General features: G+C 50.3%; 1 long non-coding RNA gene across 2 annotated transcripts, besides 2 other annotated features; it reads right to left on the bottom strand.

The window, feature by feature from the left end:
- Positions 1 to 2398: 2398 nt before the first annotated feature.
- Positions 2399 to 10157, bottom strand: LOC105378618 (uncharacterized). 2 transcript variants are annotated; one of them, XR_947130.3, is made up of 3 exons: positions 10123 to 10157; positions 7489 to 7608; positions 2399 to 2783 (listed from the first exon to the last, which is right to left on the bottom strand). It is a non-coding gene; the product is annotated as an uncharacterized LOC105378618 (long non-coding RNA). The 2 variants fall into 2 exon arrangements; XR_947129.3 differs by lacking the exon at positions 2399 to 2783 and adding an exon at positions 5078 to 5169.
- Positions 5020 to 5787: an enhancer, noted in NCBI's record as "H3K27ac-H3K4me1 hESC enhancer chr1:30730647-30731414 (GRCh37/hg19 assembly coordinates)". NCBI's record gives its function as "activates a minimal SCP1, AML or CMV promoter by ChIP-STARR-seq in primed H9 embryonic stem cells {active_cell/tissue: H9 hESC(primed)}" and the evidence as "EXISTENCE:reporter gene assay evidence [ECO:0000049][PMID:30033119]".
- Positions 10832 to 11001: an enhancer, noted in NCBI's record as "experimental_6631 CRE fragment used in MPRA reporter constructs". NCBI's record gives its function as "activates a minimal promoter by MPRAs in K562 erythroleukemia cells, with activity observed for both the introgressed and non-introgressed 1:30725518 variant alleles {active_cell/tissue: K562}" and the evidence as "EXISTENCE:reporter gene assay evidence [ECO:0000049][PMID:34662402]".

The following is an 11897-nucleotide window of genomic DNA, read 5'->3' as shown; positions in this document are numbered from 1 at the left end:
GCCATTGTGCTGAGGGACAGAAGCCAGGGGTTGAGGGGAAGAAGTGAGCTCTAGGTGAGAACAGTCAGGGGCAGGATGAAGGGGGGTATCTGCCCACCTGGCCCTTAGCAGAGTAGCTTGTCCTCCCAGGCCACTCAGCCTGGAACATGGGCAAGACACATCATGGCCCTGAATAAATTCTTCCTTTCCATGCTTTAGCAAGTATAATAAGTATACTTATTAAGTATACCTCAAGTGCTTTGAGAAGTATCATTGAATACGTTTTTCTTCAACACTCCAGTCCTCCCTTTTCTTCTCTCCCTTCCTCTCTCTCTGCTTTCTTTTTTTCTCTCTTCCTTCCATGGGGCAGGAAGGTAGCAAGACAGAACCCCAGGCACATGTGTCCACAGGCACACGTATAAGGCTCCACACCTGTGTGCTCACCAGCCGCATGATGGGCCGTGTCCGCCCAGCACCAGCCCCACAGAGCTCAGAGCAGCCCAGGCCTCTTCTCTGTTTTGTTGCTCCCAGAAAATTGGAAAATAAATAAATGTTAAAATAGAATCACAAATACTGGGATATTACCTAAATATTTACATTGTACAAATGAACACTTTTGTCAACAAATATGTGATGTGTGATTTATCAGGTAATCACAAGGTTTATTTTTAAAAAGCTAATTCTTTCCACAGGTGAGGCAGAGTGGATGGGAACCAGGACACACAGAGGAGGCTGTTAGATGAAAGTCTTGCCTTCTTTCCCTGTGCCCCTGAGTCCATGGGAAGAACCTCTTAGTAACAGCACCACAAGGTCACATTTGAGGGCTTGAATGTGGGCCCTGCACACATATGTGCACACATAAACACAGACACATAGGTACACACCTGCATACACACAACCCCCTTGGCAGATAGGCAAGAGGTTACCTGACTTGAATGTCGCTGTGGCAATAACTGCAATGTGATTCTTTTTAGAGATGAAGCTGTCACATGCATTTTATCCTTTCTGAAAATAGGCAAGGTCTGACGGTATCTGGGGGGAAGCTGACACTGGGGAACATCCCAGAGGCATTTCTGCAAATCCTGAATCATGGTGGGTCCCAGGTCCTTCCCCAGGGGCCTATGCAGTGGGTCAGGTGTCAGGGAAATGGCTGCTTCTAGAGGTGCTACTGTGTCCCAGGCACATGGGCTATCCTGTTCACCCCTCACAATGCCCCCAGAGTGGGTCGAATTCTCCCTGTTACTGCAGAGGCATGAAGCCTCGGAGAGGCAGGGGAACTTGCCCTGGGTTACCCAGCAGGGAGTGGAATGGCTGGTCTCTGCTGGCTCTCCCTGATGCTGGTGACAGAGCTTATTACAACTGAGCTTGGGTTGTGAGGCCCCCCATTCTGCTGGCCGCATTACGGGATGTGAGCACAGGATGCAGTCTGCTAAGGGCCGCAGACAGACAGTGGAGAAATGGCTGGGGGAGTGCAGGTATAGGAGATGATGGGCACTGGGGAGGGGGAACAAGGAGGGGATAATGATAAAACTGGGCCTTCGTGGGCTTGAGACAAAGCACAGTCAGTGCCTGATCAATGGCAGGCATTATCAGTGTGGTTATGACTGCCATCATCATCATTTCTGGGGGAAGAATCTTCATCATCATTGATATGGTTTGGATCTGTGTCCCTGCCCAAATCTCATGTTGAAATGTAATCTCCAAGGCTGGAGGTGGGGCCTGGTGGGAGGTGATTGTATCATGGGGGTGGATTTCTCACAAATGGTGAGAGCACCTCTTGGTGCTGTCCTCCCAAAGTGAGTGAGTTCTCACAAGATCTGGTCCCTTAAAAGTGTGATCTGGTCCTTCTCTCTCTCTTGCTCCTGTTCTGGCCATGTGATGTGCCTGCTCCCCCTTCACTATCTGCCATGACTGTAAGTTCCCTGAGGCCTCCCCAGAAGCTGAGCAGATGCCAGCACTATGCTTCCTGTAGAGCCTGCAGAAGCATGAGCCAATTCAATCTCTTTTCCTTCTAAATTACCCAGTCTCAGGTATTGATTTATAGCAATTCAAGAACAGCCTAACACAATTATCATCATTGCTGTCTTCAGCATCATTGTCATCCTCATCTTCATAGTCACCATTGTCTTGGTTTTCATTATTATACTCATGGTGTCATCATCGTCATCATCCTGACTGTTGTCAGTCATCATCTTTGCCATCCTCATAGTCATTACCATCTTAATTACCCCTTAGTGAGTATCACCTGTGTCTTGCCTGTAAGGCTGTTATAATTATCATCCTTGGATTACGGATGGGGAAGCTGAAGCACAGGGAGAGAACAGGACCTGCCCAATGGCCCAGAGCAAGTCAGCGATGGTGTCACCAGCTCAAGTTCAGCTGCTCCCTATTCAGAGGTTGAAAACATGAGAAACAAGGCGCAGCGAAAGGAAAACAGTTTTATTAATTGGAAGCTAGCAATTGGGGAATGGCCAGACTCATGCTTTTAAAAGACCAGTCCAACTTTCTGGGCTGAGTGAGATGGTTTCAGAAGGGAGACATGGTACAGGAAACAGGTGGGAGGGGTGCAGGAAGGTGCAGGTCTGCAGGTCTTGCTCCAAAGGCTTTCTTGAGTAGTCAAGCACCTGGAGGTCCAGTTGGCATCATCTTGACTTCTGCCTATTGGTGGTGGTCTCCTTGTTTGTAAGCCCACTAAGCAAGCTGATTTCATAGCTGGATCTGCAAGCCTGGTTTGTTTCAAAATTAGCCCCTGGAATTTCTAAGCCAGCACATAATGAGATAAGGAGCACTGTTCATGGGAGTACCTGGTGGGTAGGGAAGAAACAAATGTTCTAAAGCACAAGGCTACATTCTGAGATGAAGAAGGACAGGAAAAAATAAGTTCAAAATGCATTTCAAGGCTGAGACACTCAGTTACAATGGATCCAGGATTTGAACCTGTGGTGTCTGTCTCAGGGGTGGCGTTTTCACCCTGTACAATGACAGTACGAGCATGACTGTTCATTGGATGCCTCTGTTTGCCATGAACACCTCCTCCCGGATTGTCTCCAAAGCCCCTGCTGTCCTCCCAGCCCATCTGGCATCCTGGGGACCACTGCCACAGCTGAAGGCCTACTGTGTGTGCTGCATCTGTGTCCTCATACCCTTGTGCTTTTCTGCCTGTGGCTCTCACCTGTGGGTTCCTAGAACCTACAGCCCCTCCAGGAGGTACATCTCATCAGGTCTGTTGTTTTTACAGGGGAGGACTCTGAGGGTCAGAGTGGGAGGGTGACTAAGGCCAACCCCAGATTCTTTATTTTTTATTTTTTGAGACAAAGTTTCTCTGTCACTCAGGTTGGAGTGCAATGGTACAATCTTGGCTCACTGCAACCTCTGCCCTCTGGATTCAAGTGATTCTCCTGCCTCAGCCTCCCCAGTAGCTGGGACTACAGGTGCTCACCACCACCCCCATCTAATTTTTGAATTTTTAGTAGAGATGGGGTTTCACCATTTTGGCTAGGCTGGTCTCGAACCCCTGACCTCAAGTGATCCACCTGCCTTGGTTTCCCAAAGTTCTGGGATTACAGGCGTGAGCCACTGCACCCGGCTCAACCCTAGAATCTTTCTGGTGCTTGAGGGTGGTTGCAGGGATACAATGTGATGACACAGGAAATCTGGATCTGGCGAAATTGCAACTTCTACGGGAAAGGGCACCATCCCCCGTGATAGAGGAGAAACCAAGGCCGGGAGGGAAGGAGCAGGTAGAGGCTGGACTGTCAGGACTCTCCATTGCCGGCTTCCCCAGGGCGACCTGGAGGGCAGGAGGGCAGACCCAGGAGGTCTCAAGCAGGAACTCTTCCACCTACACCTCTGCCCCTGACTACCTGCCAACTCCCCGACCACAAGCAATTTTCCTGGGGGAAGAAAATGACTTCGCAGTTTTGGCAAGATCTCACTTCCATTAAGTTAAGCATGTAACAGAGTTCTTAGGGTGGAATATGTTTTGTTTAATACCTTGATCTCTCTTGTCTGCTGGAGAAATAAAATCTGTCAAGCCCCTTGAAGCCAACTGTCAAAGTAGAGCATTTTGGGAGGACAGATCTCTCACTCTGATGGCAAAATTCATTTGAAATGATCCTTTAATCCAGTCTCCCTGTGAGACCTGGAGCTGAAATTTTAAAGCCATTTGCCCTAAAGAGTTTCTTTCCATTTCTCCCTGCTGCTTTCTCTCCTGGTACCGACCCCTCCTCCACCTTTAAAAAATAATGCAACAGATTGCAGCCGGCATAATGATAACCATTTGGTTTCTCATACAATTTTTTAGGGGGAAAATGACAGAGCACAAAGCTTTGCCTTTCACTGTCTGTTTAGGGAAGGAAGGGAGGTGATTTGCTGTCAAAGTCAACAAGTAAAGGAGAAGAGGCATGAGGGAGTGGGTGGGATTTTCCAGACCTGAAGTCTGTGTGAGCAGGAGGAGCATCTGGGAGGATAACTGCGCCCTCACCCCTGCTGAAGTGGGGGTGGGAGGAGCTGCCGCTTTTTCTCTGATCTCTGCTCCTTACGCCTGTACCTCCTTCTATCCCGTGTCTGTGTCCCCCTGCCAGAGTCTCAGCCTGCCTTTGGGCTCAGTACTTTACAGGGTACAAAGCATTTCCACATTCACCATGATCATTTATTTGTTAATTGCTCTTTCCTTCCTTCCTTCCTTCCTTCCTTCCTTCCTTCCTTCCTTCCTTCCTTCCTTCCTTCCTTCATATTGTCAAAGTCATGGTGATTGGGTTTCACTATGGGACACTGTCCCATCCCCATGTGATGACTGGGATGTGACCCAGACATAATCTCCACCTTTAGGATTCCAGAGTCTAAAAGGGAAGATGAAGTATGGACAAATGGCTATGATCCTATGAGGCAGATGTGTGCTTGGCACATAGCAGGCACTTCCCTCAGTTAGGACGCGTTGGGCAACATGTAACAGACAACCTAACAACAGTGCTCAAGCGATGAGAAAGTAGAATGCTCTGGCATCGCCACACGTCTGGAGAGAAGTGGTTGCAGCTTAGTCAGATGCGCAGGGATGTTGACAAAGACCCAAGCACTTTCCCTCTTCCATCTTTACCATCCTTGGCTATGTGGGCTTTTTGTCCTTAGCTTGTTGCCTCATGGTTGCAAGATGACTGCTGCAGCTCCAAACATCATGTCTCACGCTACAGCCTTCAAGTCAAGAAGAAGTTTGCAGGGTGAGGCAGAAAAAAATATTTTCCAGAAGCACTCCCTCCACCAACAGATTTCCCCTCATATCTTGGTGGCCAAGTCTGGGCCACACGCTCACCCATAAAATGATCTCTGGAGAAGGGGGATGGGGTGCCTGGCTTGGCTTTACCCCAGGGCTGGAGGGGCCCCCAGGCCTGAGCCTGTGACTGCAGAACAAACACAGGGTTCTGTGAGTGAAGGAGGAGGGGCAGGTCTACTGGGGGGCAGCCCCATGTGTCCACCACCTTCTTGTTGGTGTTTGCTGACAGTTTCCCCCGGCAGTGTGGCGTCTGGGGTAGGGAAAGAAAATCCAGCTCTGAGCCTCCGCCCCTGTGGGCTGTGTGATCTGGGAAGCACTCAACCTCCTCCCCTGTGGAGTGGGGACCATGACAGCACCTGCTGCATAGGGAGGTCATGCAGGTGACGTGGGTCGTGTGTGCAGGTGCCCGGGCTCGTGGGGGTGTTAACACCTGTCAGCTATTGCGGGGATGAGGCCCATCTGTAAAGTGGCCCGTGGTGCCCTCTCTGTCACAGTCCTGGGGGTGACAATAGCAGGAATATCAGTTCATAGGTGCGAGCACTTCCTACGCGTGCTGGGCACCCTGTACTTGCACTCGCTCACCTAATCCTCACAGCTACCTGAGGAAAGAGCCCTTTTCATCCTCATTTTACATCAGAGGAAACTGAGGCTCAGGAAGGGGAACCCAGGTGGAGTGAGGGCAGGTGGGGCTCCAGGGTGCTCAGATTCCAGCTGCTGTGCTCTGACCCACTGCAGGGCCCTGGGTGGAGCTGGCACAGGCAGGTGCCCAGATGACCCCTTCCCACCCTGGGTCCAGGCCAGTGGCTGGGCCAGTCACTGTCCCAACCCTGTTGTCTGTTGCTCCTGGAGCTCCAGGGCCGCAGACCTGCCTGTGATGTGGGGATATTGGTCACCATCCTGGCTGCCCTCCTCCAAGTTGATGAATAAACATATTCTGTGTAATCAATAGTGTCACTGTGTCTTGGTCATGAATTGGCAACTTTCATTCTTTGGGGAAATACACATTAGATACATTTAACATGGAACATAAGCATATGCTAGTGATGGACAACACATTTCACATTTGTATATTTATCAAAATATGCAAAACCCATGTCCACAATTATACACTGGTAGGCACACCAGAGTTTAATAACTGCTTGAGACTCCTCACCAGCACCGTAATGTGAGCTTGGGCACCAAGGGGGACACACGACCCACAACCCAGACCTGCTGCGGGGGAGGGGCTCAGCTGTCACTGCTGTGGGTCCCATGAAGACCTGACCCATCGCTGGCCTGCCCAGTCTTCCTGGGAATTAAAACAATCATGCTAGATGACAGATTCCTACCGGATTTAGGACAAACACTTGCTAGAGAGACTGCCACCAGTCACCCTGGTGACTTGGTTCCGGTTAATGGTCTCCAAGCCCTGGGCACAGGGGAGGAAGGCAGTATAGCCTCCTGGTTAAACCACAGGCTTTGGCCTACACAGGTTTCCAGCCCTGGCTCTTCCACTTACCTGCTGTTAGAGGTCGGGAAGCTCACTTAAGCCCTCTGAGCTCAGTCCCCTCATATGTTAGCTGAGGATAGTAGTAGCATCTACCTTATTGCGTAGGGGCTAGAAGTAAATGTGGCAACACAAGTAGCAAGCTCAGTGAGGATTCTTAGTCTTGCGGTTCAGTTGTGTCAGGACCGTGGTTCTCTGGCCCCATGGCTGTCCAGGTGGGCAGCTCCTCCAGCAACTGGAGGGCCCTGGCCCCTCTGGGTCCCTCACCATTGGAATAGTTAGAAGAAAATGAGCCCCAGGCCCCACTAACTTGGGTTCACATTCAGCCTCCAGCCCTCACTCAACATGTGACTTGGGAAGTGGCTGAACCTCTGTGAGCCCCATCGGTTTTTCCCTCTATAAATGGACACACACTATTGACCACCTAGAGCTATTGCGAGGATGTGACGAGGGTACATCAGCTGGAGGCAGATTCCTGGGCTCAAGTGACATTTTAGTGCATACTTGTGGGTGGGACTCTGAGCAAAACACAGTGTCTCTGTTCCTTGGATCCTCATCCTTCACATAGAGATTGGGAGTCTCTACTGCGTAGGATGCTGCGGGGACTCCAGGAAAGAGAGCTCTCAATGTATGCTAACTGGCATTGCTATACTTATTATTATTATTATTCTACTTGTAGGCAAACACCCTATCTTGTCTTTATGTATCAAGCCCCTGGCACAGGGTCCGGGCATAGTAAAGACTTGAGGCTCACCGGAGCAGGAAGAGCAGGGACCCGGAAGCAGTTTGCCTGGGTTTAAAGTCTGGCTCCGTCACTTCTGAGCTGTGAGATCTTGGAAAATTCCTAATCATCTCTGAACTTTGGTATCTTCATCTTTAAAATAGAGGAGAGGGGTGAATGACAACAGGGTCTCCTTCATGGAGTTGTTGAAATAATTAAGTAAACTAATGCATGAAAAGTGCTTAGCACTGTGCCTGCCACACAGTAAGTGCCAAGACAGTGCTAGCTTCAATTCTTCCAGGATTTGAAGGAGCGTTGGTGTTGAGCAGCCTCTAAAGTTCTCCCTTTTTGCCACTACTGCACTTTGAGATGAAGAAATTGAGGCCAAGAGACATTAAATTAAACGTTTGGCAACAAGGCAGTATATAACTGTGCTAAATTATGCAGGGCAGACAGAGAACAAAATGATCAGTAATAAAAGGATAATTGCGGGGGACAGGTGCTAATGGACCAGGAGCCTGAGAAGAAGGAGAGAAAAATGCAGCCTGGGATGAGGATGGCCTCGGCCAGGGCCCAGGTGTTAATGACATTGATCTTTCCCCTTAACATAACCATGCATCCTCACTGTGAAGCATTTGGCAAGTGCAGGCGTTTATACAAGAGAGTATATAATTCATCTGGTATCTTGCCTTCCGGAGATAGTAGTTTTTACATATTAATACCTTTCTTCATTTCTTTTTCTATTCATATACAAGTACATATTTTCATAACTGCTTTCAAATGGGTGTGACTGTCTAGATAGGTTAGAACATGATGCAATAACAAACAAATCTCTTGGAAACAACAAAGTTTAAAATAGCCTGCTATAAGGAGATGATGAGTGGAATATTACAAAGTTTTAAAAACTAATGATGCCTAATATTTATGGAGCGAATAACCCTTATGTCCCATTAGCTTGATCTTAATGTAAATCCAGGTCCAATCTTCTCTCCCTCTCCAGGCTCCCACCCAGATCCCAAGGTCATCATGCTTGGACTGGTGCAGTAGCCTCCTGATGGGTCCCTGGCTCTACTCACTCCCCGCACAGCAGCCCCTGTGACCCTGTGAGACTCAAGGTGGAGCCCTCTCTGCTCTGCTCTGGACACCCCAGGCTCCTGCCTCACTGGGTACATCCAAGCTGACAGTGGCCCCGGCCCAACAGTCCCCAGCTTCACCCCCACTTGGCCCATCTCACCCCCTCCTTCTGCTCCCCTATAGCCCCCTCTGCTCCTTCCTGGACCCGTGGTCCTCACAGTTCCTGCCTCCAGCCTCCGTCCCTGTGCTTTCCTCAGCTGGAACCTCTCCCATGTCTACCCACTCCCTCACTTTCCTCCTCAGGTTCTTGTCCCAGTGTCACCTGCTCTGAGAGCCCTCCCTAACCTTCTCCCCACACCATTGACAGTGCTAGGAATCTTGCTACTTTGGTGGGGAGCTGGCATCTCCGTAACCAACTATTTACAAGTGTGACCCATCACCTGCCCCTCTCCTGCTTCCTTTCCCTCCGAAGCTCTTATGCACCCTGCAGCCCCCGTCTGATGCTCCGTGTCTGTCTCCTTCTAGACCTGAGCTCCCCACACAGGGGCTTTGTTTGGTTCTGAGCTTTCTCCCACTGCCTAGGACAGCGAATGCCCACAGTAAATGCCCAATGCCTATTTGCTGAGAAAGCAAGTGACTTCAGCCCTGACGATGTCCTACGGGTAAGATGCTGTCCTAAACAAGGGACTGTCTCATTATTTCTCAAGGCAGCCCAAGGAAGCTGGTTCTAGGGACACCCTTGTGTTTCACCTGAGCTCACAGGCTTGGCCTGGCCTGGCTCGTTGCCGTGCCCAGCTGCCCCCAGCTAATGAGGGTTGGCTTGGGATTCCCACCTGGCCCTGCCCTTGTGGAGGTGTGCGGCTGCTCCAGAGTGTTCCAGGAAGGGCAAGATGAGGCCGGGGAGCCTCATCTCCCCCCCACACCATTGCCAGTGCTGGGAATCTTGCAATTTGATGGGGAGCTGGCATCTCCAGGAGGCTTTACTTAGCATGCCGCCCTCCTCTGCTTGCTGAGCTCCAAGCTGGGTTCATGCTGGGCTGACACAGGCCCCAGGAATGCAGGGAATGCCCTGACAGCCCAGCGCCCCCTGAGCCTCCCCTCCCCTGGTGGCTCCTCATCACCATCCACTGCCTCCACTGCCTCCTCCTCATCATCAGGGACTCCCTGACCTTTGTCTCCATAGCCTGGGATGCAGCCACTGCCACCAGGGTACAACCAAGAAAGCCTCCCTGCAGGTGCACAGGGAGATTAGGACGCTGTGGCTTTCCCTTTGCGCAAGCCAGAAATGGCACCCCCATGTTCATTTGATTGGAGGAGTGAGGCCTGGGCTTGATTGGTCAACATTTTGTCTTTGCAAGGGACTCTTGTCCAGCTCCACACTGAGCCACCCAGCTGCCTCCCAAGACCTCCTCCTGCATGACTCTCAGGCCCCCCAAGTGAAGGCACCCAACTCTGCCCAGGCCACCTCCCCTCTCCCAGGTTTCCCCTCTCACAAGTCACTGCCCTCCACCTGGTGGCTCTGACCACCTGGCAGGGGAGTGGCATGGATGGATGCCTTCTTCTCCTTGACCACACTCACTTTGAGAAACTTACTTTCCCAGGCCAGGCGTGGTGGCTCACGCCTGTAATCCTAGCCCTTTGGGAGGCTGAGGCAGGAGGATTGCTTGAGCTCAGAAGTTCGAGACCAGCCTGGTCAACATGGTGAAATCCTGTATCTACAAAAAAGAAAAAAAATAAAAATACAAAAAATTAGCCAGGCGCAGCGGCATGTGCCTGTAGTCCCAGCTACTTGGGAGGCTAAGGCAGGAGAATCGCTTGAGCCATGGAGATGGAGTTTGCAGTAAGCAGAGATGGCACCGTTGCACTCTAACCTGGCTGACGGGAGTGAAACCCTGCCTCAAATAATAATAATAAAACTTTCTACTTTCCCAGTTTCAGTCCCTGATCAGGCCCAGGGTTCCACCAAACATCCCTGAACCTATGACAACCTCCACACACTTCTTTCTTTTTCCTTAAACTACTCTTAGTGTTTTTCTGTTGCTTGCAAAGAGCCCTGACTCAGACACCGAGGAAACCTGTTTATTTAAAAAACTGGTTTTTAAAAAAAATACTCTTTCCAGCAATGAATGTGTGTGTCTCTCTCAGACACATTCCTAGAGGCCTCATCAAATGAGGGGAACGAGGCTTTTGCAAAGCTAGGTGGAAATTAAACCCATAATCCGGGCACACTCTTGTTTGACAAGTGATAATTAACTGCTGACAATATAATTTCAGCTTGGACGCAGCATGGTTTCATTAAAAAGTAATCGAGGAGACCTTTGCGTTGGGAGGTCTGGTCTCCTCTGCAGACAGAGGTTCTGTGTTGGCATTGAGTGTCCGCTGCTCCCTGCCAGGTGGAGCATGGGCCCCAGAAGTGACACTGGGACTGGTCCCTGGTCTCGCTGTGCCCCAGAGACTCCCAGAGGCGGCCCAGCCAAGCCCTCTCTCACTAGGAAGCCCTCCTCCTTCTCCAGGCGACCCCATCCCAGGATGTGCCCGGCACCATCACAGGGACATGGCACTGACTCCAGCTCCAGGGATGGAGATGGGCGTCCTGCCTCTTCAGCCACACCCAGGTCCTGTTGGGATCAGATCCCATCCCTCTCTCCCTCAATTTACAGAGGAGGAAACTGAGGCTCAGAAAGTTGGAGTCACTCGTTTATGGCCACACAGACGATGAGGGACCAAACACACATCTGAACTCTGACCTGCCCAACTCCTTAGTCCGTGCTACCTCCACCCCATCGGCAGTTCCCTTCCTCTAGGGAACTCTCTGTTCTGTGCTTCAGTTTTGTCACCTGTAAAATGGTGAAAACACTAGTACTCTCCATATGAGGCAGTTTAAGGATAAAATAAGATTGGACACGGTGGCTTATGCCTTTAATCCCAGCACTTTGGGAAGCTGAGGCAGGTGGATCACCTGAGGTCAGGAGTTCAAGACCAGCCTGGCCAACATGGCGAAACTCCATCTCTACTAGTTGGGCGTGGTGGCATGTGCTGTAATCCTAGCTACTGAGGAGGCTGAGGCAGGAGAATCGCTTGAACCTGGGAGGTGAAGATTGCAGTGAGCCAAGATTGTGCCGCTGCACTCCAGCCTGGGTGACAGAACAAGACTCTGTCTCAAAAAAAAAAAAAAAAAAAAAACGGGGTGGGGGGGAGCGGATAAAATAAGTTGATATATCCAAATCACTTATAATAGTGCTTGACACATAGTAAACCCTTCAAGTCACTTCTGTTAGCTGTAATGCTCATTAATTGGTATTAATATCAACAGCATGCTGATATTTTTTTGGCAAACGTCCTTCCTCCAGCCCATGGACCAGTGACTC

The sequence above is a fragment of the Homo sapiens genome, chromosome 1 (genome assembly GCF_000001405.40).
Source record: "Homo sapiens chromosome 1, GRCh38.p14 Primary Assembly".
Taxonomy (NCBI): domain Eukaryota; kingdom Metazoa; phylum Chordata; class Mammalia; order Primates; family Hominidae; genus Homo; species Homo sapiens.
Note: the sequence above shows the minus strand (reverse complement) of the source record. Positions and strands in the feature narration are given on the sequence as shown.